The sequence below is a fragment of the Homo sapiens genome, chromosome 14 (genome assembly GCF_000001405.40).
Source record: "Homo sapiens chromosome 14, GRCh38.p14 Primary Assembly".
NCBI lineage: Eukaryota > Metazoa > Chordata > Mammalia > Primates > Hominidae > Homo > Homo sapiens.
The window spans coordinates 74594765-74622007 of record NC_000014.9 but is presented as its reverse complement, the minus strand read 5'-3'; the positions used below and the strand labels follow the sequence as shown (position 1 = coordinate 74622007).

Here is a 27243-nt window from a genome sequence, read left to right as displayed (position 1 = left end):
CTTTATCAGAAATGGGGACTGTTTCCCTTCAACCATCATGGACCCTTCCCTGTTTCTTCTTGTCAGCCAGAGGAGGGAAGCTGCTGACAGCTCATCTCCAATACGCCCTCCGGGACCCTCGAGCCACCCCTCTCCACCAGCAGCTTTGCCACTTACACTCACCATCAGAGATGTTCCCAAGCCCCGAGGCCCTGCCCTGACATGCATAGTGACTCTTGGCTTCCCTGGCCCAGACGGCCAGATAGCTCCCAGCTTCTTGCAGCAGCTGAAAGAGTTGAAAGGCCTGGGAGTCAGGAGGCCCTGGTTCAAGTGCTGGCCAATAACCAGTCACATGACCTTGGGCCAGCATCTCTCCCTCTTTGGGCCTCAGTTTGCCCTGCCATAAATTGAAGAAATGGGATGGCCTATCTCGGGGAGTCCCCTCCACATGCACATTCTGTGGACCCTGCAGTTCCTTGGATCCACATGCTCTCCTTATCTGTCTGCTGCTCAAATCAAAATCTTAGTGTTGACAGGGAATTTGTAAAAATCTTCTTTTTGTAGATGAGGAATCTGAGGCCCAGGGAGGGGAAGGGGTGTGATCAGAAAGATGTACTAAGGGCAGACACAGAATTCCAACTGGAGTCTGCTCCCAGACATGATCTGACTTTGGTTTTAATGACTGCTTGGAATGGAAGAATTCTTTGCACCAAAGCCGCCCATGTGCCTAGCATAGGTTCACATAGGGTATGGCTGGTGCCTCTTCAGCCTTCTGTAGGCAATCAGTTCAGGGTCCATCCTTTTGATCCTGTAGTAGAAGCCAACCAACCTAGACCAAGCCCTGGTGGGGAGACCTGAGCTCTAGCCTTCTCTGTGTAACTGACTAGCTGTGTGACCCTGGGCAAGTCACTCCACCTCTCTGGCTTTATTGCGGTGTGGTTATACGAGCTCCATTGGGCTGTAAGCTCTAGGGAACATGGACTTGTCTGTTTTAATCCCAGGGGGTTGGCTTTCAAAGTAAAGTTTCTTAGTTGAAATTTCAGAGAGAATCTCATTTGTTCAGCAACCAATGATGTCTGTATTTAAGTCAGCCCACAGAAATCTTAGGTCACTGACTGGCCAGTGAAAGGGCTGCCTGTGGCTCAGGTGCTTATCTTTGGTTCAATCCACTGTGGCCTGGAGTGTTATGTCACTGATAAGTACAGTTGCTTTTTCTAGGCATTGTTTAGAAAGGTATCTATTGGATCTCTATTGTCTTGGTGAGGAAACTGGCTCAATGAGTCACTTAGCCCAGGGCACATAACTGGTAAATGATGGTGCTGAGGTTAGAACCACAAAGCCCCTTGTTCTTCCTACTACTCCAGGACCCATAGCTGTGGACTAGTCATGCAGAGCAGAGTGCAGTACGTTGAGGGCTACAGGGATTTGGTGGAAGCAGCAAACTTTCCAGATGGAGGGAGGTGCCCAGGAAGTCTTCATGGAAGAGGCGGCCTTTAAAATGGGAGTTTAAACAAACAGGCAGGGGTGGTGAAGAACATTCCAGATCAAGGAAATAATGTCAGCCAAGGTGTTTGGGTGAGGGGATGGGGGAGAGGAAACTGGGTGGGATTCTGAGAGGGTGAGACTGTGCGGAGTGTCAGCATACATGGCTGGGAGGGTTATGAAACAAGCTTGTGTGTCAAACCCAGTAAGAAGTTTGGGATTGATTTGTGAAGTAGTGGGGATCCATTGAAGGTTGTTGAGCAGGTGAGTGACTTAATCAGAAATGGGCTGCCAGAAAATGTATGGTTAGTTCCCTATAAGTCTGTTCCTCCTGGGAGGCACAGGCTGTTTCACCTTTGCTGTTGTCTTCAGTCAGAAATGGGGAGGAACGGAACAGAGCTGAGGAGATGCCGCTGGCACCACCACTGTTAGGCGGAGGACCAGAGGGGGAGTAAGAAGACAGTGGGCAGGGCCAGGCCTTCATGGCAGGTCATGGGGGGTGAAGAGGAGGAGGAGCAGCTGGAGACGACTTTCCTTCCTCTCTTGGCCATCAGCCTCCTCTGGCCTGAGGTCTGGTCTGGTGAGGCAGAGTACAGAGCATGCCTGTGCTGTCTGTGTGAGTTCCTGAGGAGTGAGATCTTTAATTTTTGTCTGCTGAGCCCTGATGGGCGAGAGGCCAGCCTGTGTTACAACCTCTTGGGGGCCCCTGGGCCAAGGCACTCAGACCACAGTGGACGGAAACAAGGAATGAGTCATTCAGACTAGGACTAGCCGGGGCCCACTGGGATCTGCTGCACCTCGCCTGCCCCCTCAGCCTGGTGTCTGTGCCCTTTCCTGGGGATTTGCCAGGTCTGGGTCTGTTCCTGAGGGACTGGGGCCCTAGAGAGGGTATTGGGGGCACCAGGGCAAACATCATTGAGCCCCCACTCTCCATGGATGATCCAGGGAAAATGGACTCAGGGGATGATGGCAGAAGGCATCCTCTTCCTCTCTTTGTCTTGACAATGGAGAGTGAGAGGGAGCTGGCTTGCAGGCCTCCCTGGGGAGAGCTTGTTTTAGGAAAGACCCTACTGTAGACCTTCCTCTCTGCCCCTGCATCCCTCATCCCTCAGGGTGTGAGGAGTGTTACTATGACCCAGCTCAAAGCCAAGGTGGGCACAGGCTGGAAGATGCCAGCGACAGCCAAGGGAAGCTGCTTCTTGTCCTTTTTTGTCCTCAAATTCCTGCACAGCCATTCTAGAAGCCTAGATAGGCCTGCACAATCCCCCAGCCCACAGGGTTTTCTTCCTGGGGATTTTGAAAGAATAATCCAGGTACATGAGCTCTCCCCATCTGGGTAACTCTCTCCACCTCCAGCAGAGCATATGAAGTCCCCTTGGTCTCACTGGGAGGAATTACAGGGAGGAGGTCTTCCAGCTGCTCACACTGTTGTCCTGCTCAGGTCTTCAGAGACTGTGCTTGAGGAGAAGTTATGCTTCAGGCTCCCCCGGGGGTTTAGAAGATTCCTCCACCCCTCCACCCCCAGCCAGGGACTGAAGGAATTTATGCAGGTAAATAGGAAATGACATCTCAGCTTATAGTGAATGGCACGGAGCTTTCAGATCAGCCCACCCATGCACCAGAGACTGGAAATGAAGGGAAGCGAAGTGAACTAAGTGATTTGAAAGAGCTGCCCATTTCCCATCATTGCAGGACACCCTGGTGTGAGTGCAGTGTGCTGCAGGGAAAACAGCATGGACTTTGGAGTTGTTCAGACTTTTTAGTTGAATCCTGGCTCAACTCCCAGCTGTGTGGCCTTGAGCAAGCGACTACCCCTCTGGGCTTGTGAAATGGGAATGGCAACACCTCTACCACACAGAGCTAAATAGACATTGTATGTATGTCATTTCTCTTTCCCAAAGAGAAAAGCTACGAGTTGAGATGAGCTCTATTCAGCAACTGCAGACTACTTGATGGAGGTGGGGTGAGTGTGGCTGTGACTTCCTTCCTTCTTCTCTGTGGGTGCGAATCAGATTCACCGCCCTGACTCAGAGCGGACCCCTAGCTGGTAAACAGGCCTGAGGAGAATGGGGGATGCTTGGTGGGGGCTGACCTGTGACCACAGTCCCATGCAGCCATTAGCACCCCCACCACACCACAAACAGCTGTGCATGCTTCCAGCTCTGAGAAAAATGCAGCTGTCGGTGGTCTCCCTTCCCCTGGAAGCTGGCATTGGTTTAGCATCTGGGACCAGACAAACCAGGAGTGAATCCCAGCGCAGCCACCTACTGGCTTGTGACTGTGGATGAGTCATTTACTTCCCCGAGCCTTCATTTCCTCATCTGCTATGTGGGGAAATAATAGCACTTCCTTCATCAATAGCGCTTCTCATTAAACAAGGAAGTGACTATAAGATGACTTGGCACAGTGCCTGGTACCTTCTGAGTGCTCAAGAAATACCAAGGCTGGATGTGGTGGCTCACACCTATAATCCCAACACTTTAGGAGGCCGAGACGGGAGGATCACTTGAGTCCAGGGGTTCAAGACCAGCCTGGGCAAAATGGCAAAACCCCGTCTCTACAAAAAATACAAATTAGCCAGGCTTGGTGGCGTGCACCTACAGTCCCAGCTACTTGGGGGGCTGAAGCTGGAGGATTGCTTGAACCCAGGAGGTGGATGCTGCAGTGAGCCGAGATTGTGCCACTGCACTCCAGCCTGGGTGACAGAGTGAGACCCTGTCTCAAACAAACAAACAAACAATAAATGAAATATCAGTTGGTAAATGGAGGAGTAGTAATTGACACCTGCCCCTAGCCCCATGACAGGGTAAACAGGGCTGGCTAGCTAGTTTGTCCTGAAGAGAAAAATGGCAAAAAGAACATCATTATCTCAACTTTCAGATAAGAAAGTAGAAGCCAAATGAAGCTCAGAACTGTGCTGCATTCACAGAAGACGGAAATGAGCTCAGAACTGTGCTCCGCTCACAGAAGACGTAAATGTTCACCACATGTTTGTGGGAGGGCCCTTTCCAGCACACTCTGAAATACAGGCCAGCTCACCTTACCTTTGCAGGAACATCCATACCATGGCTATCACCACCAGCCAGCATGTCATACCCACTTGGAGGAGACAGGCACCGGCAGACCAGGGCAGGGTGGTTGTGAATTCTTGAGGGGACGCCAGGTCATGGCACCTAAGGTGGAATGGTTCTGGCAGCCTTTGCGGGCCTTAACAACCTCACACAGGAGGGAGTCGGCACCTCTCTGTACGGCCTGCACCTTCCAAACTGGAGGCTGAGGCTGCGCAGTGCTGGGGTCCCAGCTGCCCAGTGTCTGGAGCAGAACATCCAAGCCCATGAGCGGCTCCCGTCTGGAAGGCTGGGGGCCCAGTCAAACTTTCCTTCAGCGATTCTGCCCTCTGATTAACCAGGAAATGTGTTATTTGTTCTGAGCAGGGGAACAAGCTCTCCTGGGGAGAGGAATTCAGGGCTGGAGGTCCAGTTACTTCCAAGCAAGAAAAATCCCTGGAATTCTTTCAGGAGTCTGGGTCTCAGCAAAGGGGGCCGAAATGTGGCCCTTGTTTTTGGTCCTTATTTACCAAATTAGCTCAGGTTCTGGTAGACCTCTGGCTGCCAACATTATTCCAGTGAGACATGGAAAAGCAGTGAGTTTGCCCTGGGAGTCCAGGAGACTGCTGTCCCTTGCATGGGGCATGTGTCTGGGCAAACCTTTCCCTGCTGGAATCTCTTTATCAACCCTTTAGACTCTCTCTGCCGGGTTTTCCAGAGATGATTTTCCTCTCCAGACCCAAGAGATGGGTGAGTAGGCTTAGCAGCGATCTAATGAGGGAGAAGGCTTTAATCAGGGGGTGGGGAAGTGACACACGGTGAGTCAGCGGCCATGCTGAAACAGCTTCCCTTCTTTCACTGGGCCAAGAGGATTAAGGGTGGCAGAAAGTTCTGATAACTCCACATCTCCAGGTACATGAGCTCCAGGTACATGAACAGTGGGCTGGCAGGCAGGGAAGAGGGCATTTGGGGATATGCCCTAGAGCTCCTTTGGTGGTGATAGTGGTGGGGTGGTTGGAAAGGTCATGATTCAATTGTGAAGAGGGCTCCAGGCTTACAAGCCCGGGGTGGAGGCAAGGCGGTGTAACCTTAAAAGCTTGGGCTCAGGTGGAAAATGATCCAGGTTTGAATCCTGCCTCTGCTATTTATCAGCTGTGCCATCTTGGGCAAGCCAGTAGCCATTGCCAACCTCAGTTTCCTCCTTTGTATGCGTGGAAATCATAATGCCTCCTTTGGTTGGTTAAATCAGCCAATTGATGTAACATGCTTAGTATGGCGTTTGGACTAAAGTAGGCTCTATCGATTTTGGCAGGTTAAAAAAAAAAAGCAAAACTCAAGTGTTTGTGGGATTGGAGATTCTGAAGAGCTGCAATCAGTCCCAGCAGTTAGAGGGTAAGGGAGATATGGGCAGTAAGTAGGTGGCAGGACAGAGTGTGGCGCCGGGATGGGGTAGAAGATGCCAGTCTTTGGAGTAGATGAACTGGGTTATGGTCCCCAGGCGAACAGGGTGGGAACGTCCAAGGACCACTTGTACTCACTGAGGAGTGGAAGGGGCGCCCGATGGTGAGGGAAAGTTGGTCTGCGTGAGGGTTTTGGCGGAGGCGAAGGGTGAGGGATGAATGGGCGGCAGACTTCCAGAAATGCAGACGGAGGAGACGGAGCAGTAATAATGACTTGGACACACAGGAGGAAAAAATAGCTCAGGGACGAAGATGATGCCAAGGTTTCTGGCTTTTGGAGGCCCACGGGGATCTGAGGTGGGTCTTGAGGGATCTAGAGGGGAGCTTCTGAAGGAAGTGGGTAGGTTCCGGGGAGAGGAAGGGAGCCCAGAACTACAGAGGTGGGTGGATATCTGGGCAAGGAGAGGTAAGTGTGGACCTGGGGCTTCCACAGCTGTGAAGGAGCAGCATCCCAGGAACAGAACGCAGCATTCTGGGAACTAAGGGGCATTCATGGTCAAATGCAAGGGGTAGGGTTCAAGGAGATCTTTAGAGCCAGCCCCAAAGGCAGCAAGCACATGAACCTGGATCAGGAGCTGCCACCCAGAACTCAGTTCCTCTCTCTTAAAATGGGTCTAATGATACCAGCCCTCCCCACTTGATGGGATTACTGTGTCCTTCATTCAGTTAGCTATCCATTTCACACATACTTCTTGGCTGTTCTAGGTTCTGCAGAAACAGTGGTGAGCAACGCAGACAAGATATCTGTTGCTTTAGAGCTGTCATTGTGGTTTGGGAAGTCAGACAAGAAATGATTTTATAGGTTGTTGAATAGGACTTTTCCTCTGCTCTTGGAATATCTGCTGAAGCCACAAAGATAGAACAATGAGGGCTAAATATTCTTGCATTCTGAAGAGAAGTACTAGACACCTTACTAAAGGCAGAACAGGTTCAACAGCAATCAAACTACATCCCTCAATTCCAGTCTACAAATGAAAGGGATTGAAGAAAGTCACTGAAGCATAACACTGCTGCATTTGTGGGCAGGGCTGAGATTTCCCCTGAGGGAACTCCCCAACTCAAACCAAATGAAGGGAGCTCCCAGAGAGAACCAGTCATCTGCAAGAAGAGGAGGCTCTGTCCCTATAACTGTCCCCCCACTGATGCTGACTATGTTGCTGGATGTTACAGGCACCTCGGTGCATTAAACTACAGCAAGACAGTTCATGGGAGAACCCAACATATGTCTTTAGGAATTGAGGACGTACATAAATGAAGAGACTTGTGTGCACTTCCTGTCTGGAGAATTCTGATCGTGGAGCCTCGCTGGAGTGGCCTGTGTGGCAAGGTGAGAAGTGGGCAGGGTGAGGAGCGGCCAACCCACCATTGTTTTGCCTGGCATAGGTGGGACAGTCCTATGAGAGACAGAGGATGCAGGGGTCTCCGAGAGGTTGGCCAGAGAGTAATTTGCTATGGCAACTCAGGGTGGAGGTCCTGTAGAGAACCTCCCAAAAACCCACATATGTGCCCATGAAAAAGCCAGCGCTTGGCACCTGCCAACCAAGGGTACCTGTCACATAAGACTTTGCTACTTTTCCTCTAACACCTCTCTCCCAGCCTTGACAAAGAGGAGCCACAGCAGAAAAGGGAGGTCAGGAAAACAGACCACACCCCACTCTCACCACTGCAGGATCTCTAGCAAAGGGACAGGGGAGAGGAGGACTATTAAATGGGATGTGATATTGATTAACTTGGATGAGATTTTGATCTGGACAGGAGCAGACTTTTTGTGTCTGAAAATGGGTCTTAATTATATTAATAGAATAGTTCTCGTGTCTGGTAGGGATGACCTCTCAAGCCAAGGACTCTGCCTGAGATGTCATTAAGGGTGGGAAAGGGAAATTTACCATAATATGGTTGAAGGTAGTAGTGGAGCAGTTTCTGGATAGTCCCTCTTTAGGTTCAGCCCATTAAAAAATTCAGTTACACGAGCAAACAAATCAATAACAAGATGATGTCAACTGTTTTATGAAGATGAAACAGGGTGGTGTGTTAGAGTCATGACTGGGGTGAGGGAGGGCTGCTCTAGATTGGAGGTCAGGGATGGCTACTCCAGGAGCTGATATTTAATCTGAGAGGAGCAGTGATGAGGAACTACCCTCTAACATCCTGGAGAGGAACCTTCCAGTAGAGGGAAGGGGGCATTCACTTGGCTTGTTCAAGGAGCAGAGAGAGGGCCAAGGCAGCACAGTGTGGTGGGTAAGGGAGAGCAAGAGGCCAGATGAAATCAGAGCGGGGGCAGCCAGCTAGGGTTTGTAGGCCAAGGCCAGGGGTCGAGGCTTTATTTCAACAGTAGATATTACCTGGGCTTGTCTTTTGTGTGGTGTGGGAGGTTGTGAACTGGTGCCCACATGCCAGCTCCTTCACTCTGCCTCTCTGGGAAATAGGCTGTACAAATGTGCCAGGGGCAGCCCTGTTGATCCAAGCCTTTAGGCTGTAGGGAGGGAGCATGGGTGAGAATGGTGTGCTGATTACTGGGGACACGCAGACAGCGGCAGTCAGCATTCCCACACCCCTGCCCGCCTCCCTGCTAACACAAGATGTGAATGCACACACTGGGTCAATCGGGGTCACCGAATCCCCCTCTGGGAAATTCCCGAGAGAGTGAAGGGCTGGGTGGGATCCCGGGAATGGATTCAGCCAGAGGCGGGAGGCCTAGATTCCACTCCCCTCTTTCACATGCGCTATCTCCTTGAGTGACTTACTCAAGAGGCTCCGTGTCTTTGCCTCGGTGAAAAAGAGGACCCCTTGGCCGGGCGTGGTGGCTCACGCCTTTAATCCCAGCACTTTGGGAGGCCGAGGCGGGCGGATCACCTGAGGTTGGGAGTTCGAGACCAGCCTGACCAACATGGAGAAACCCCGTCTGTACTAAAAAATAAAATAATATACAAAATTAGTCAGACTTGGTGGCGCATGCCTGTAATCCCAGCTACTAGGGAGGCTGAGGCAGGGGAATCGCTTGAACCCGGGAGGCGGAGGTTGCGGGGAGCTGAGATCGCACCATTGCACTCCAGCCTGGGCAACAAGAGCGAAACTCCGTCTCAAAAAAAAGAAAGAAAGAAAGAAAGAAAAGAAAAAGAAAAAGAAAAAGAGGACCCCTCTTCTACCGGCAGCCATCACCGCGCCAGGCTCAGGCGTGACCCTCACGCCAGTGGAAGGGGATTGAGATCCAGAGCGAAGGCGGCGGCGCCAGGGCATTGCAGCCACGGAGCGCCAGGGCCGCCAGCTCCGCCAGGGGGCGCGCCCGGGACCTCCCTGCGCTCCGCGCGCCGCGCCCCGCCCCGCGCCACCCCCGCTCCGGCCGGCCCTGCGGAGGGCGCCCCCAGCGGCCAGGGCGCAAGCGGAGGGGGCGGCGGCCCTGTTCCCCTACGCGGGCCTCGGCGCCCCTCCCGGCTTCCTTCAGACCTGCAAGGCTGCAGCCTGGGTCCCCCGATCCAAAGACGGTCCCTGAGGCGAGGGGCGGGAGAACGATTCGGGGCAGGTCTGCAGTTCGAACTTGCCCAGAGCAGGAGAAAGGCGGCCCAGTGTCCCGGTCGTGGCAGGCGCCATCTGCCCGACCAGCGCCTGGGTCAGCCCCGCGCCGCCCCCTGCTCCGCACGGGTTAATCCCCCTCGCCGCCCGCTCGCCGCCCGCTGGCTTCCCGGTGCCAAAGTGGGTGTTGCTGGAATTCCTCGCTCCCTCTCCGGTAATGAGGGGGCTGAGCTGTCCCTCCGAGGAGGGGGCCTGGTGTGGATAAAAGAGACGAAAAAGCCGGGGGAGGTTTCCAAAAATAAAACCGTCCGGGTCCCCTTCAGACGGCTGCAGGCACAGGGAGGAGGCGCGAAGGTGCAGCAGCCGTGCGAGCCCAGCTGGAGTAGGAGCGCGGACTCGAGGCTCGGGGCGCGCAGCCCTCGTTCCGCCGAGAGCCGGGCCCCCAGTCGGCCGCTTCAGGGCCCCCTAGACTCAGAGAAGCTGGCCGCCGGGCGGGGCCGGGAGAACAGCCCGCGGGCGTCCAGCGTGCCGACCACAAAGCTCTTCGCGGTGCCCGCGCGCACCACTCTCCAGCCGCCCCGCGCCATGAGGCCGCGGACCAAAGCCCGCAGCCCGGGGCGCGCCCTGCGGAACCCCTGGAGAGGCTTCCTGCCGCTCACCCTGGCTCTCTTCGTGGGCGCGGGTCATGCCCAAAGGGACCCCGTAGGGAGATACGAGCCGGCTGGTGGAGACGCGAATCGACTGCGGCGCCCTGGGGGCAGCTACCCGGCAGCGGCTGCAGCCAAGGTGTACAGTCTGTTCCGGGAGCAGGACGCGCCTGTCGCGGGCTTGCAGCCCGTGGAGCGGGCCCAGCCGGGCTGGGGGAGCCCCAGGAGGCCCACCGAGGCGGAGGCCAGGAGGCCGTCCCGCGCGCAGCAGTCGCGGCGTGTCCAGCCACCTGCGCAGACCCGGAGAAGCACTCCCCTGGGCCAGCAGCAACCAGCACCCCGGACCCGGGCCGCGCCGGCTCTCCCACGCCTGGGGACCCCACAGCGGTCTGGGGCTGCGCCCCCAACCCCGCCGCGAGGGCGGCTCACGGGGTGAGCATGGGAGAGGGAAGTTTGGAGGGTACAGAGGGGAGCCAGGGCTCATTTGTGGAGGGGCGTGCAGGCGAGAGGAGAGGGCGCCGCTCTCATACCCTCGTCCCTCTGTCTTTAGTACTTCGGGAAACAGCCCCGAGGTTCCAAAATCGGGATTGGAAGATTTGATCCGCTTTCGAAGAGTTGAAGGCAGATAGATCATCATCCTCATCCTTTCTTACCAACTCTCCCGGAGCCCCGACGTTAAATCCTTTCGCAAGGCGCCTCTCCACTCGCCCGCGTTCCTCCTGCCTGCAACTAACGAGCTCTTGTAGACTCTTGCAGCGCTGCCGGGATCTGAGAGGCAGCGGGGAGAGGGCAGGAGGGTGGGCGCTCCAGGCTCTTGACGCCCAGGGGAGGTTGAGCTGGCTCAGAGCGCGGGTTGGCGGAGGTGTCGGGGGCCCCATGGAGAGAAGGTAGATGCGTCTCCAGGAGGGGAGCCGGCAGCGAAGCTGGTGCGTCGGGACAAGTGTCGTGGGGCGTGGGTCGGCCTGCGCACGCTGAGGGCTGGATGCGGGCGTGGGCGTGAGCTCTGGGTACTTTGGGCGGGAAGCGTGTCCTGATGAGGCTGCGACACAGTGGGCGCGTGGAGAATTGGATCAGTGTGCTCTTGTGCATCTAGGTGTAAGCGTGACTTGGGCGCGTTGCAGGGCTAAGCCACCGCACAACCCTGCAATTTACTTTTTTGCTCCCCCTGGGCACCACCCCCTGCCCACCGCGGGCGCCGTCGCAGAGTGAGAAGATGCCCCAGTAATCCCCATCCCCAATCGGATCATCATGGCTGCGGGCACGCTCCGCCTTGCCTGGGTATGGCAGGTGCCTCTGGAATGGAGGGCACTGAGCCCTGGGCAGTGAGGGGCTGGGTGGGGGCACCATCGGGAAGTCTGGGAAGGGCTTTGGCAGCCTCTCTTTGCCTGGGCCCGATTTGCCAGTTGGGTTTAGTCCTGGGGAACAGCATGAAAGACACTTGTACCCCGAGTCCTACTCCAAGGACCTTGCACTTCGCAGCCTTGGCGCTCTGTTTTCCTTGGCGCTCTGTTTTCCTTGGCTGGAGCGCTCTTCTCATATTTCAGCAGGATTGAGCTCTGTCTCTTTCAGATTTCTGCTCAGAGTGACTTTTGGCCACCCGTGCCCCATCCTCTTTCTCCTTTCACCCTGCTTTATGTTTCTTCATAGTACTTATTCTATCTGATATGTTCTATTCCTATTTATGTGTTTATGGCCTGGCCTCCCAGCCCACACTAATGCAAGCTCTATGCAAACAGGGACTTCGTTGTGTCCATTTCTGTGTCTCTTGTGCCTAGAATAGTGCCTGCACTGGTTGGTATTCTCTAGGTATCTGTTGAATGAGTGGATGAACTCCCTGCTGCCCATGGAAGGCCCAGCTTCAAGCAGGCAGAGAGTAGACCCATGCACTGCCAAGTCGCTTACACATAGGATCATTCAACAAGTCTTAGTGGAAAGCACCTGCTGTGTTTCAGCGTTTTCCTTTCCTGATCTGTGCAAGTGAATGCATGCTTCCAAGGATCCTGCGTGCAGAGCATGGGAAAGGGGATGGAGGCCCAGAGTCCAAGGCATTGTTCCTGCTGGGAGAGCAACCCAATTACTTAATATCACGTTGAAGAAATGAACAGATGCTTTCTAGTACTGGAAGGTTCCTGTTAAGTGCAAAGGAGTGGGGCAACTGTAGCTGAAGAGCTGAGTAGAGGGGACCTGTGACCTGGGGCCCCTGGGGCTCTGTGGGCAGCATGTGGGGAAGCAGAGGGGAGGTGGCAGGAGGGGGGCCTGGAGGTGAGGGTGGTGTGCAGATGTAGCACTGCCCAAGGACAAGGGCTTTTTACTGTTGGCACTGGCCCAGGGGTAGCACTGCAGCTTTGGTGTAGGGGAACCTAGAGACATAGCTTGGGCTGGAGCAGGGAGGAGCTTGTACTGCAGGCATTTAGGTGCAGGTGAGGTGCGGGGGAAGGTGGGGAAGTGGAGCGTGGGGGCTGGAGGGTGCACTATTAGAAGTCATGAAATAAAGCGAATTGTCACTACAACAAAGCTGGTGGATGTGAACAGGCATGTGAAGACATGGGCTGGGTGCCACCTGCTGTACACAGGTGCACACATCACATGACACACTGGTCAGGCTCCTCCCCCACATTGTCTTCTGCAGCTTTGATAAAGAGTGGGTTCCCTGACACTCCAGTCAGCCACTCCATGTCAGCTGGGGAGGACCTGAGGGGTCATCTTGTTTATTCTCTTCCTCCACCCTGGTCCATTCTGGCTAATGGCTTCTAGTCAGGCTGATCAGGTTGGCCATTCATTGCCTTGTGAGCTGCAGACAGCCAGGGACCAAGTGCCACCTCCTGGTGAATCTTGGAACTGCACCACTGCTACTGGAGCTTCTTCATTCATTCGACAAATATTTTGGAAGAACTTCTATACCCAGGCCCTATACTGGATCTTGAGGATATAGCAGTGACCAAGACAGGCATACTCTGTCCTCATGGAACTTTCAATGTAGAAAAGATTTATTGCACATAATAAAGACTTATTAAGTTTGTGCCAGGCTTGATGCTAGGTATTTGGGATACAGCAGTGACCAGAGTGGACACCGTCCCTACGCTAATGAAATTTACAGTCTACAGGGTTTCTTTTTCATTTCTTTTCTTTTCTTTATTCTTTCTTTCTTTTTTTCTTTTTTTTTTTTTCTTTTTTTTGAGATAGAGTCTCTTGCCCTGTCACTCAGGCTGGAGTGACATTATTTCGGTTCACTACAACCTCCACCCCCGAGGCTCAAGCAATTCTCGTGCCTCAGCCTCCCTAGTAACTGGGATTATGGGCGCACGTCACCACACCCGGCTAATTTTTTGTATTTTTAGTAGAGATGGGGTTTCGCCATGTTGGCCAGGCTGGTCTCAAACTCCTGAGCTTAAGCACTACACCCACCTTGGCCTCCCAAAGTGCTGGGATTACAGGTGTGAGCCACCACGCCTGGCCTCTATAGGGTTTTTTGAACCAGCCTCACAGCAGACCACCTGTATAATATTTTTCTCTACCTTTCCCTCTTGTTCTGTTATTATTTTTCTTTAACTTTATATTCTGTTAAAATAACAGGATTTTGTGTTTTATCTGTTTTAAAGTATATTATGAAGTTTTATAAATGCACTAAAAGGTATTGAAAATAATATAACATAGTCTAGTTTTGGCCGGGCGCGGTGGCTCATGCCTGTAATCCCAGCACTTTGGGAGGCTGAGGCGGGTGGATCATGAGGTCAGGAGATCGAGACCATCCTGGCTAACAAGGTGAAACCCCGTCTCTACTAAAAATACAAAAAATTAGCCGGGCGCGGTGGCGGGCGCCTGTAGTCCCAGCTACTCGGGAGGCTGAGGCAGGAGAATGGCGTGAACCCGGGAAGCGGAGCTTGCAGTGAGCCGAGATTGCGCCACTGCAGTCCGCAGTCCGGCCTGGGCGACAGAGCGAGACTCCGTCTCAAAAAAAAAAAAAAAAACATAGTCTAGTTTTATCAAACCTTAATATTTTGACATATTTTGATTCCAGTTTTTTAGTTGAAATTTCCTCTATAAATTTGCCTCCTTCCCTCCCCAGAGTTAACCACTACCCTGAATTTAATTAATTCCAATAGATGTTTTTACAATATTACTATAGATACATGTATCCACAAAATATACAATGTTGTTTTGCATATTTTAAACTTAGATAAGTGAGACCCTATTTCATTATTCTTCTGCAATTTGTTTTTCCCCTCCTCATTAGATTTTTGAGATTTAACCATGTTAATATAATTAGCCCAAGTTTATTCATTTTAACTGTTGTATATTATTCCTTTGTCTGAATATTACCACAGTTTATCCATCCTCCTGTTTTTGGACATTTAGATGAATTACTTTTTCTAAAAGTAATTTTCTAAAAATTCTACTGAATTTTTTTGCTATTACAGACAGTGCTTGACTCATTTTTCTCCATAAATAAATTCATAACTGAAAGGAAACTTTGTATCATTATCATAAGTTGAAAGCAGTACCACTTGTTATAAAGAGAAGATAACTGTAGGAAAATTGAAATGAAAACAAAATGTTCTTAAGTTCTAGTCAGACTTCATTCATTGTCTTAGGAAGCTCAACTCTGTGGCAAGTTCCCTCTATTGGAAGGGGGACTAGCGTGTGTTGAGGGGAGGACGTGGCCTTTTTCACTGACATCATTAGGTTAGAAGGATCACCAAAAAGAGAATCACTTTCTCACCATGTAACTCAGATTGTTGAATGTTGTGATCTGTAAACTTAAAATGCCTTTCCTACCCTCAGTGGCTCATCCCACTTTTTGTGAAACTCCAGATTAAATGAAACAAGTATCAATTGTATACCACATGTTGGGCACTGTGTTAGACTGTAGAGGCACAAGGAGAAATAAGAAAGAAACCTCTAGATACCCAAGACTGAGATACAACCAATGACCTGAGACAGGCAGTACTAAGTGATCACAGCAGATGCAGATGGAGAATGAGGGAAGGCTGGGTAGATGTCAGAGGAGGTGGGTTTTTTTTTTTTGTTTGTTTTGTTTTTTGAGATGGAGTCTTGCTCTGTCGCCAAACTGTAGTGCAGTGGCACAATCTCTGCTCACTGCAGCCTCCGCCTCCTGGGTTCAAGCAATTCTTCTGCCTCAACCTCCCGAGTGAGTAGCTGGGACTACAGGTGCTTACCACCATGCCCAGCTAATTTTTAGTAGAGACGGGGTTTCACTGTGTTGGCCAGGATGGTCTCAATTTCCTGACCTTGTGATCTGCCCACCTCAGACTCCTAAAGTGCTGGGATTACAGGTGTGAGCCACCTTGCCTGGCCCAGGGGAGGTTTTATACAAAGAAGGTAATATCTGATCTGGAAGTCTTGGAGTATGCAAAGGATTTTAATCAGTAGACCAGAGAGGAAAGGCATTCTAGGCAGAGAGAGCAGCCCAGGCAAAGGCATCGAAGTGAAATCCATAGGGTAACTGGGGAGCAACAAACCTTGTATCCTTGGAGGAGCAAAGCCTTGGCTGTGGATGGTTGTGGAGACAAGGTGGGGGTGATGGGGACAATTAGACTGCACAGGAAAGTAGGCACATGGGTGCCAGGGGGCCTTGTAGAGGCCAGTGGAGAGCTGTGGGAGGTTTTTAACAAAGGGCTAGTGTGATCAGATTTGGCCCAGGTGGAATAGCAGCTCTCCCAGACTGCTAGCCAGATGTGTTCCCTACAGTGATGCTGGATACTGGGCTAATGTGTGCTGAGTGGTGTCAACTGGAAGACTGGACTCAGATGATCTCTGAGAGGTACCTTCTAGGGAGTCAGAGTGATTGAATTATATATCCCAGCTGTTCAGGCTCATTTGCTCTCTCTGCTAGCCAGAGCCCACTGAACTGACAATTCCCAGAATTCCCAGCTGGTTACCTCCCTGGGCCTGCACCCAAAACTTTAATATTGGCCTGTAGGGATCCTTAGAGACTCTCCTTGGGGACCTGAATCTCTCTTGAGTGCCCTACCAGCCCCAGCCTGGCCTCTCTGCCTGGCAGCCTTTGATTCTGGCCAATCCTCACGTGGCCTTACATCCCTTAGGGCCTACTCTGTGCAGGCAAAGCAAGGTTGGCCCCTGCCCTCCCACAGTCAGCTGCAAAGCCATCCTGAGGGCAGCTGGGGTGACGGCTGGCTCAGGGGGCCTCCTTGGGCTGGGCTCCATGCCATGACCTCCCAGCCAGGCAGGCTCCTGCGTCCGTGCTGTCTGGGTTCCCACAGGCCCTAATTCTTAGAAAATTCCCAGGGCACAGAATCTGTTTCCTCTCAGAGCCCTCCTAGCCCCACGAGAGGTCTTGTCACCACCACAAGGGGTGGTGACATAAAAGTGGGTACGTAGTTTCCCCTTCCACTGGGGCGCACCCCCGGAAACTCTGGGTCTGACAAGCAGCCCTTTCCCTGACCCCCGTGACATGGGCCCTGATGCAGCCAGGAAGCTGCTAACGGTGGTCGCCCAGAGAGGCTTTGAGGTGGCCCAAGTGGCACAACTCTTGGCTGGTGGGACATTCTGGGAGCTCCCTGGGAGGGAGGCAGTGCCCACAACTTTGGGCCAAAGGGCCAGGAATGGGCCTCCGCTTTTTCAAGCTGCAGGAATTTATTTTGAATTCTTCGTAAGACTCCAAAAACCACATAAGCTTTGGGGTCCACTCAAATGTCAAACAAACTCCTAAGTGGGACCAGATGTCGCCATGCTGGCCACAGAGATCACAGGAGTGGCCGCCCTGCTCTGTCCTTTGCCTGTCCAGCCTCTGCACTTCTCCCTCCCCTCTTACCCTCTAGTTCCAGTGCCCGGTGATGATTTCCAATGATAAGGATGGAAGCCAGAGCCCGGCCCAGCCTGCCAAGGAGTCAGTCCCTAGAGATCTCCAGGAGAAGCCCTTCTAGGGAGACGCCCTGGTCTAGGCATGTGGGTCTTTAGCTGCAGAGTCAGGGCCGGGTGGAAACTGCTGGTGCTGCTGGAGTGCGCCAGACACCCGGAAGCAAAGTTTGGGGAGCTGAGTGAATGCCCCAGCACTGTAGGTCAGCGTCTCATGGGGGTGCCCTCAGAGCCAACATCAAGGAGTAGCTGAAGGGCTGGGCGCAGTGGCTCACACCTATAATCCCAGCACTTTGGGAGGCCGAGGTGGGTGGATCACCTAAGCTCAGGAGTTTGAGACCACCCTGGCCAACATGGTGAAACCCCATCTCTATTAAGAATATTTTTAAAATTAGCCAGGCATGGTGGCAGGACTGAGGTTGCCATGAGCCGAGATCACGACATTGCACTCCAGCCTGGGCGATATAGTGAGACTCAAAAAAAAAAAAAAAGGAGTAGTTGATGGAAGAACTCTATTTCGCTATAGAGTAAGTCCTGTTTGCCTCTCAAATAAAAATTGTGCCTCCACATAAAAATTGTGCAGAGGCAGCTTAACCCACATCCCCAGCCCCATCCTCCTACCAGCTTGCCACCTTGTAAGCACCTCTTAACCAGGGATTCTAGAGCCCTGTTCCTTCAGTGCCCACTCAGGGCTCAGCCTTCCCACGCACCAGACTGCCGGGGGCTGAGACTCCTCAGTGTGCATTCGTTGGCAGGTAACACCTCGTATGACCTTGAGACTGTTTTATGTGTGTCTTCCAGCCTCCCTTGGATCGTCAGCATTGGTAGGGCAACGACCATGGTGTTTTTTTGTGTGTGTGGTTTTTTTTTTTTTTTTTTTTGGTGAGAGGCAATGTAGAGTTGGAGCATGGCTTAGAGTTGGGCCAACCCAGGTTTGAATCAGGCTCTGGCACTTACCTGCTGTGTGGAATTGGCAAGTCACTGAACCTCTCTGAAGTGGCTTATTAGCTTTAGGATCACTGTCATTGTTGCCCCAGTGGACTGCCTTCTTTATGTCAGATGTTAAACATTCTCACCTCATTTAACCATCATAACAACTCAATTAAGCAGCTATTGTTATCTCCATTGTACAGATGGAGAGAGTGAGGTTTCCCAGGGATGTGCAGAGAATGGCAGAGTCAGGATTCAATCTTAGATTTGCAAGTAGAATAGGGACAGCCTTCCCAGCCTCTCCATGTTCCTCCAGGCCCTGCCTCTAGAAGGTGGGACTGTCGGAGGGGCTGTGAATAGTCCCCAGCTCTGAGCATCCTTGTGTTGACTCTGTTTTGGTGACCCCACAGGAGGAACGTCTGCGGGGGACAGTGCTGCCCAGGATGGACAACAGCAAACAGCACCAACCACTGTATCAAACGTGAGTGCCTCCACCAGTAGCAGACACTCCGCTCTATCAAACGTGAAGTGCCATTCCCCACCCTACTCCCAGGGCAGGTCAAGCTTAGGTACTCCAGAACCTGGAGCAGAAGCGTCTTTCCTAGTCTGCGTCCTGAAGATGCAGCCCCTATTTAAAGTGGAGGCAACATCCAATGGAAGGGAAGAGGTTTAAAAATGCCTCTAGCTGGGGCCGGGAGCGGTGGCTCATGCCTGTAATCCCAGCACTTTGGGAGGCCAAGGTGGGTGGATCACTTGAGGTCGAGAGTTGGAGACCAGCCTGGTCAAGATGGTGAAACCCTGTCTCTTCTAAAAACACAAAATTAGCCAGGCGTGCTGATGGGTGCCTGTAATCCCAGCTACTCGGGAGGCTGAGGTAGGAGAATCACTTGAACCTGGGAGGCAGAGTTTGCAGTGAGCCAAGATCACACCACTGCACTCCAGACTGGGCGACAGAGCGAGACTCCTTCTCAAAAAGAAAAAAAAATGCCTCCAGCTGGACACAGCTTCTCAAATCAAATCACTGCTTGTGTTTTCAAAGCTTCCTGCACTCCCTCCTGCTGTCCTACTGTGTTGGCCCCACTCACACTGCCGGCAGGGTCTCAGGAGACTGCATGCACCTATGTTCTGCAGAACATGCCTGGCCCAGAGCCTCCGCATCCCACATTTCCAAGGGCACCATTCATGTAGCATGTGATGAGAATCCACCTCTGCCCTGGCCCCTGGCCCAATGGCCCTGGCCTCTGTTAGCCACTCTACCAGGATGGTCAGATGACACTGTGACCCATGCCTGGAGCCGTCTCCCCTTGGACTGCTCTGATGCCTGGCAGGCTGGCTCGAAGGAGAGAAAAGCCATCTTATTTTGTGGAAACCAAGGAGTGAGTTAGGAAGAGCTAGAGCCTTCACACCTGAGCCTCTTCCACTGATGGTATCAGGAGCATTAACAACAACAAGAGCCAGTACCTTCATAGCACTCACTTTGTGCAGGGTGCACTTTAAACATCCTCTGTGGCGGGTGGATGAGGAACGTGAAGCACAATCAGGTAACTTGTCCAAGGTCATGTAGTCAGGAAGTGCAGAGCTAGGATTTGAATCCAGACAACCTGACACCAGGGTCCCTCTTCTTAATACCTGTACCCTGCTGCCAGGTATCTTACCTTCATTTCTGGGCCTCACTTTCTGCATCTGTGAACTGGAGGTGATGGTACTATTGCTGTCACTGCTGCTGCTACTGCTACTATTAGCTAACAACTGAGTATGTACTAGTGCCCCACACTGCGCTAAGCTCTTCACATGCATTATCTTAGTTCGACCTGTCAATCATCTTATGAAGTAGGTGTATGCTTATCATCGTGGCTTACAGATAAGGAAGCTGAAGCTCGGGTTGCTTGGGAAACACGGCCAAGCTCTGCTGCTGCAAGTGCTGAGCTCGGGCTGGACCCAGGCAGACTGACTCCAGAACTCCAGGCTCCGATCTCCTGGGCTTCGTTCACTCCCGACACCAGCGAGGCCTGGATATTCCAGAGTGTGGAATCCCCACAGACCATAGCAGATATGGGAGTCTGAGGGAGCCCGTTGGATCTTTCTCCTTCCTCCCACAGGCCCCTCTTGGGTCCACATCAGCTCCCCAGGAACTCCACCTGACTATCCTTCAGGTGACTGCCCCTGCCTCTGCCAGTCCCAAGCCTGGCTGCAAAGCCTCAGTCTCAACAGCTCCCTTCCTTCAAGGACCAGCCCCAGGCCCTTCTCGGTAGGAGGGCTTCACAGCTAATAGTCCAGGTGTGTGAAAAAACGTATGATGTTCCCAGCATGATGGATGCCTTCATCTGGGAACATCATACGTTATTCTATGATAACGTATGATAACGTGGTTGTCCTAACACCCCACTTGATGGGATGCGATGCGATTGCTCCCATTCCCGCGAGTCTGGAGATATGGGTTCACCAAGCTCTTGGCTTCTGCCTCAGGCCTCGTGGCCCTGACCCTCTGCCTGTTTGAAGATGCAGCTCAGGCAGAATTTTGGGTCCCTCCTAGGACCTCCAAATAACAGAACCAGAGCCAAAAACTCAAAAACAAACAACGAAGCAGATCTGCTTAAACACCCTTTCCTTTTCAGGGAACGTGGATGCCTGGGGGCGGCTCAGAGGTCAGGCCCTCAGTGGTCAGGGGCACCGGTGGGGAGAAACACTTGTCCCTCATTATTTATTTTTATTTAATTAATTAATTAATTTTTTGTAGAGACAAGGTTTTATCATGTTGGCTAGGCTGGTCTCGAACTCCTGGCCTCAAGTGATCCTCCCACCTCACCCTGCCAAAGTGCTGGGCTTACAGGTGTGAGCCACCACGCCCAGCCCCTCATAATTTTAAAGAAGAAAGTGAGCCTCAGAGAGGCGGTGACTTGCTCAAGGCCACACACCTTATTGGAAAAGAACCTGAGACTCAAAATCAGCTCTGAGCAACTCCTCTGGGTAGAGAAGCCAGGGATGTGGGCGGCCAGGTGGCTTTATGCTAAGCAGAGGCTCTGGGGCTGGGGCCTGGCACTGTAATTTTTTTAACAGCATCCCAGGTGATTCTAGGTGTGGTCAAAAATCACTGAGCAGAGTTGGGGGTCAGTCATAGGAAGATCTGCCTTGGGGGCCCTCCTCAAACTTGAATGTTCCCCCAACCCTCTAGGAATCACATCAAAGAGAAGATTCTGATTCAGCAGATCTGGGGTGGGGCGGATATTCTATGTTCTAACCAGCTCCCAGGAACGCTGACGCTGCTGGCCCAGGGACCACACTTTGAGTAGCAGGGCCTTCCAGGACTCAGGAGGCCTGGGCAGGAGGGACTGGGACTTGGAGGTGAGGAAGAGGGTTGGTATGTTTGAGAGAGCTTAGCCTTTGTTGGGAGGTTGGGAGGCAGCGTTGGCTGATGGAGAATGTTGCTGAGGTTTGAGCTGAAGCTGCAGCGGGTGGCTTCATAGGGGGTGGGCCTTTCCCCAGCTGCCCCAGGGGTCTGGGCATAGGTCTCACTTGGGCCCTCCAGCCCTGGAGGTTCTCGGTTTCCTAACTTGCTAGTGATGTTCCAGTGTTATTCTCTGCCAAACTGGAGTTTCAACCCTAGAAACTCAAGGTTGAGTGAGTTTGCATACTGTTACAGTACCAGTGCATGTGTGTGGGGGCATCCTTGTGCCCCAGTGGGTGCTGCGCCAGGATGCTGAGGTAGGATGCTGCCATACCTTCTCCCCTGGTATTTCTCTCCCTGGCCGTCTCACCCTGCTGCCCCCGGTCACCCACCCTGACCCAGGCATACAGGCCAGCTGCTCTCCTGAAGGGAGTTGCCAGTGGGCAACAGCCCCTCCCACTTGAAGTTGGCTCGCCCGTGGCAGGGCTGTGTGCTCATTAACTGGTCCCTGTGCTGTTTGCTTGTTGCTATTTGGCTGCTAATAAGCCTAATGAGAACCCACGCAGGCGGGCGGTGGGGTGTTGGCACTGGATGGCTTCATCCAGAGCTCCGCAGAAGGTGGGGCTCTTGGCTCCACACCCCGTCAGCTGGCTCTCCCCCACCCCTGTGGCTCCGCACCTCCCTCTCCCCTCCCAACAGCTGCCCTCCTGGCTGGGGCAGAGACTGCCAATGTTGGGGAATGTTCATGATTCTGTCCTAGCAGTTTCACACATGAAGGGATGCCTTCCTGGGCCAGTGAGAGATGGGGGCTGACATCCCCCACTGCCAAGAGTAAAGTCTAGTGCCAGAACCACAGGGAGACTCAGTCTCTCCCAGATATCTGTGGGCCCAACCCACTGCCCATGCTCAGGGAGTGCTGGCTCCTGCTCAGTTGCCCTCTCTTGCCTCTGGCAGAATCAATCCCAGGTCACTGTCACACACCAGTCCATCTCCCGGGCCTGCCCTCCTTCCGCCCTGTTCTGCAGGTGCCCATTGCTGGAAGCCCAGCCCCTCCTTCCACCTTGGCGGGGGCTAGAGCTGGGCCGCCATCTCCTCCTCCAGTCTTGGTATCTGCCTTTCCTTCTGTAGCTTTGCCAGCTCTCTCTCGGGACTTATGTGTTTATGTATTTGTGGAGGCAGCTGATTGCGGCCTGCCGGGCCCTGCCCAGCAGAGGGGAAGAACTGGAGGGTGTGGAGTGACAGTGTCCTGTTTATAGTTGCAGCTTTTGGAAGACTGTCCATTCTTCCCAGACTGGCTCCCGCCCAACCCCACCCCAACTGGGGAAGGGGATTTGAATACTCCCTAGACTTCTCATTTTATCTCAGCCTGGACGCACAGGGGCTGGGGCTGCTTTGGGGAGGACAGAAGAGAATCCCTGCAGCTGTCGAGGAGGGGGCAGGCAAGTTACTCTCCCACTCCTGCCCCCAGCAGCAAGGCTCGAGATTAAGAGCATGTACTTTGGATTCTGGCACCAGATCCCTGGAGACGTGTTTGAGTCCCAGCTCTGTGTCCTGGGGGAAGTGACTGGCCCTTTTCTAGCCACAGGGCCTCGTCCATAAAATGGGCATAACAATCTATATAGAGTTGGTTTTGGGGATGAATGATATGAACGCGATAGCTCTTACTGTGCACCAGGTACCATTCTAAGCACTTCATATTGTTCATTTTTAATCCTCACAACAGCCCTATAAGCTAGATTGGATTTTTTATCCCCATTTACAAATGAGGTCGGCTGTCTGTCCGAGTCATGCCTCTGAGACTCATCAGAGCCCAGACATGAATCCAGGTAGCCTGGTTCCAGAGTGCGAGGGCTTAGCTCTGTGCTTTCTGATAAATGAGTAAATGTGTGTAGACAGCCTGGCGCAGGCTAAGTTTAGCTGGTATTTTAATGCTAGATCAGGAGACCATGCTGGACTGCCTGGGTTTAAATGTCAGCTCTCAGCTCCACCACGTGGCTGAGGGGCTATGGGCAGGCTGCTTAAAGTCTTTGTGTCTCGGTTGCCTCTTCTGTAAACTGGGATCAACATTGGGCCCTGTCTCCCAGAGTTGTAAGGAACAAACACCGTCACTTAGGTCAGATGTTTAGCTCAAGGCCTGGCATGTGCGATGCACTCTATACATGTTTGGCCTTGATTTTGAGGGCAGGGACTGTGTCTCACCACCCTCAGCAGGCAGCACGCTGGGTACAAGGTAAAGGGTCCATAAGTGTATACTGAATAATACAGAGCCTATCCCGGCCGTGTGCCTGAGAGAGCCCTTTCTGTTGCCCAAGTTCTATCAGCCCTTCCAGAAACTCCCCACGGTGTTCAGGGGATCCTGGGGATGGTGACGCTGGAGTGGGCCTGAGCATTTCTCTGCGTGTATCACGTGGGCAATGGAATGGCATTTCCCCAAGTCCCCATCTCAGTCCTACGAGAACCCTGTCTCTCCTGATCTGAGCTCCTCCTTGGCTTCCTTGAGGGAGCCTGTTTGCCCCATTCATGACAACCACATCCCAAAGTGGAAGACTGTGGCAAGGTGGCTAAGAGCCCCAGCTTTGGAGTCAGGCTCCCTGAGTTCAAACCCTTGCTCCATCACTTACTAGCATGGTGATCTTGGGCAAGTTGTTGATGGTTCTGCCTCAGTTTCCCCATATGTCAGATGAGGATGAGAGTAGTACCCAGTGTAGTTATAAGAATGAGATGTTTATGTGAGGTAATACATGTAAAGCAGTGAGCGCAGCACCTCGCTGTGGGAAATGCTTAACAAGCCTTAGGAAAAGGAGTAAGGGCAAGGGTAGGATTTTCATCTTCACTGACTGGTTAGCACCCACCAGGAGCCAGGAACCAGGAGCCAGGAAAGTCTCATCTCCGGATGAACCAGCCAGTGGGGACTCTGAAGTTGGCAGGGAGTGGTGGAGAGGAAGGTGGGAGGTGGCGAAGGGTAATAATTATATGACCTCAGTGGAACCCAGCTGATATGTAGGGTGCACTCTCATCAAGAGACCCTGTCCATTTCTTACCCCTGCATGGGGGTACCCTTCCTGGGGAGATCTTCCTGGGGAGCAGGTTACCCTGAGGCTCTTTGTCCAACGAGGTGATTAGGAGATGTCCTTGACTGGGAGCTTCCTGAAGCCAGGTGCTGTGTCCTGCTGACACCAGTGGAGTGCCTGGCCCTCTCTCCACACCTGTGTCCTTTGTACATGCTTGGGACCTGTTTATCAAAGAGCTGAGTGGGGAAATGATGGCATGGGTGGCTGGCAGTTTCCTCCCTCCATCCCCAGCTGCCTCTTCTCAGTCTCCTTCACTGGCTTCTCCCTCTCTACCTGACGTCTTAATGTTGGGCTTCCCCAGGACTTTCCCCAGACCTTCCAAATCCCTCACCCCAAAGAGGGAGGCCATAGGAGCCAAGCGGAGCATGAACTGCCCCTGGGTATTGAGTGCCAGCAGGCACTGTGCCCGACAATTGACATGCAATACTAACAGTAATGCCCGGGGCTCACTCTGCCTGGATGTGCCAAATGCTGCCATCTTCCTTCAAACCCTCATGGTGTTCTCTGTCCTGGTCCCCTCCTGTGTCCCTGGCTGCTGCTTCTCCTCTGCTCACTACTAAACTGTGGGTTTCCCAGGACTTAGTCTGGGGTCTTCTATTTTGTTTTTGCATTGCTCCCGGAACAATCTGCTGCCTTCTCATGGATGTAAACATCATCTCCGGGCCAATGACGCCCAAATTCACATGAATCCTCTGCCAGGCCTCTTGTCTGACCTTCAGTCTTTCACATCTGCTGCCTGCTCAACATCTGCGCTTGATGTCTCCCAGACATCCTCATCCCAACTTGTCTAAAATGAACTCGTGACTTCCCTTCCTCTGAGCTAACTCCCCCGTGCAGGTCTTACTCACTCTGTTAACTGGCACCCCCATCGACTTGACTGCTCGAGCCAGCCACCCAGGGGCTACAGGGACACCTTCCTCTCACTCAGGCTTTGACATCAACCCATTACCAAGCCCTGTTTGTTTTACTTCCTCAGTCCCTCGTGGACCTGCCTGCTTCCCTGCTGCCTCTCTGGGCCAGGGCCCTGTCACAGCTCTCCTGGGTGATACCACAGCCTGCTGCCCGCTCTCCCTGCCGCCCTCAACACATCCCACCTGAAACTTCCTGCAGCGGCATCTCCACACTCACCCAGCTCCCTGAGTGCAGCCTGGGCCACTGGCCTCTAGGCTGGTGCACATGCTGCTGCCTCTGTGTCTGCTCCCCGTCATCTCTCTGTGCGGCTGGCCCTTGTCATCTACCCAGTCTCTGTTTTGAGGTGTCCTCCTCAGAGGGGCTGCCCTGGCCACTCTTGCTTGAGTGGCCCCCACCGGCCTTGTTCTTCTGGATCTTGGGCCCTCGACTGTCTCCTCCATCCCTCACGTACCAAGTTCTGCTCCACTTCTTTGTTTTTAATTTTTATTTATTTATTTATTTATTTATTTATTTATTTATTTTTGAAACAGCATCTGGCTCTGTCACCCAGGCTGGAGTGCAGTGGCGCAATCTCGGCTCACTGTAATCTCGGCCTCCCAGGTTCAAGCAGTTCTCCTCCCTCAGCCTCTCAAGTAGCTGGGATTACAGGTGTGTGCTACCACGCCTGACTAATTTTTGTATTTTTATAGAGACGTTTTGACTAATTTTTGTATTTTTGTAGAGACGTTTCATCATGTTGGCCAGACTGGTCTTGAACACCTGACCTCAGGTGATCCACCCGCCTCGGACTCCCAAAGTACTGGGATTACAGGCATGAGCAACCACGCCCATCCTGCTCCACTTCTTTGTTTACCTATTGAGTGACAGTCCCTCTGACTAAATTGTAAGCCCCAAAAGGACAGTCTCTCTTGTTTGCCATCCTGGCAAATCGTGCGTTTGAATGCATTACTGTTTTCTAGAGAAGAACACTGAGGCTCACAGAGGTGATGAAACTGGCCCCAGGTGAGATCCCACAGTCAGAACTCAAACATGGGTCTCCGACTGCAGGGCCAAACTGTCCTTCATGCCCCTGCCCTGGCCTCTCTGATTTGTCAGTGTTTGGGGTGGTGTTCTCATCCTTCCCGACCATCCTGGGCCTGGGCGCGGGGCTGGTGCTGCTGTGGGAGGATGGCTGGCTCCACTCCAGCCTAGAACTGTCTCCCCTGGAAGCTGCTTCTCTGGAAAAGACTCATCCCCAGGGACCCCTCCCAGCCTGTCTCACCTCTGGGGCCCCTCTGGCACTGAGGCTTCCTCCCAGACAAGCCTTGGGACTGTGGGGATGGACAGACAACTCTTCTCTGCTTTGGGGCAGCAGCTGGAGAGGAGCCTAGGCCTCTCAGCCCTGGGCCATGAGCTGGGCCCAGAGTCTTCCTCCTCATGCCTGCTGGAGCCGGTGGGATTGGGGCTGCTCTCTGCCCCAGCCCCTGGCCCCGCGGCTCCCCAGCCCTGACCTGGCCCAGTGTTGCAGCATTTGTTAATGCAATTAACAGGGCGGTCCATGCTGAAGGGCTGGGGGCCAAGGTCTGACTCACACCTCCCCTTCCTCCCCTCCAGCCGCCAAACCCAAACGGTAGAGGCCCGCTTGGTCTGCCAGACAGCGTCTGCAGAGAGCAAGTGAGGGGCCAAGAACGGCATCTTTCTCTCATTAGGAGGTTTTATGCGAACACAACTGCTATTTTGGAGCTGGGCACTTGGCCGGCCCCTGAGCCCCAGTGCAGTTTCCAGCCGTCCTGAGCCATGGTCCTGGCACAGCTGTGTGGGAGCTGGGTGAGCCCCTGAGGCCCTGACTTCTCCCACAGCCTGGGGGCTCGGGTCCTCAGTCAGGGCCTGGGAGACACAGCCCCTGGGCAGAGCTTGAGAGTGGAGAGAGCGATTCTGAGGTGGATTCCGAGGGTGGATTCCGAGTGTGGGTGTGAGCCAGACAGGGATTCCCTGGGCTAGGGG

The 27243-nt window shown here is 53.1% G+C and overlaps 1 protein-coding gene and 1 long non-coding RNA gene across 2 annotated transcripts in view, besides 3 other annotated features; one reads left to right on the top strand and one right to left on the bottom strand.

Annotated features, from left to right (window-relative positions):
• Positions 3280 to 4479: an enhancer, noted in NCBI's record as "CDK7 strongly-dependent group 2 enhancer chr14:75084232-75085431 (GRCh37/hg19 assembly coordinates)". NCBI's record gives its function as "activates an origin of replication core promoter dependent on BRD2, BRD4, P300/CBP, MED14 and CDK7 cofactors, with strong dependence on CDK7, by STARR-seq in HCT116 cells {active_cell/tissue: HCT116}" and the evidence as "EXISTENCE:reporter gene assay evidence [ECO:0000049][PMID:35650434]".
• LOC101928352 (uncharacterized) lies at positions 7960 to 8823 on the bottom strand. The gene is made up of 2 exons (XR_944029.4): positions 8713 to 8823; positions 7960 to 8441 (listed from the first exon to the last, which is right to left on the bottom strand). It is a non-coding gene; the product is annotated as an uncharacterized LOC101928352 (long non-coding RNA).
• Positions 9088 to 9715: an enhancer, noted in NCBI's record as "H3K4me1 hESC enhancer chr14:75078996-75079623 (GRCh37/hg19 assembly coordinates)". NCBI's record gives its function as "activates a minimal SCP1, AML or CMV promoter by ChIP-STARR-seq in naive H9 embryonic stem cells {active_cell/tissue: H9 hESC(naive)}" and the evidence as "EXISTENCE:reporter gene assay evidence [ECO:0000049][PMID:30033119]".
• Positions 9141 to 9460: a silencer, noted in NCBI's record as "silent region_5932". NCBI's record gives its function as "represses an Ori minimal core promoter by ATAC-STARR-seq in GM12878 lymphoblastoid cells {active_cell/tissue: GM12878}" and the evidence as "EXISTENCE:reporter gene assay evidence [ECO:0000049][PMID:35858748]".
• The window catches only part of LTBP2 (latent transforming growth factor beta binding protein 2), a 114055-nt gene continuing 96582 nt past the window's right edge, over positions 9771 to 27243 (top strand). The window contains exons 1-2 of the mRNA NM_000428.3: positions 9771 to 10557; positions 18303 to 18373. Of these exons, the coding sequence (NP_000419.1) occupies positions 10064 to 10557; positions 18303 to 18373 (565 nt within the window). The 5' untranslated portion in view covers positions 9771 to 10063. The remainder of the gene's footprint in view (positions 10558 to 18302; positions 18374 to 27243) is intronic.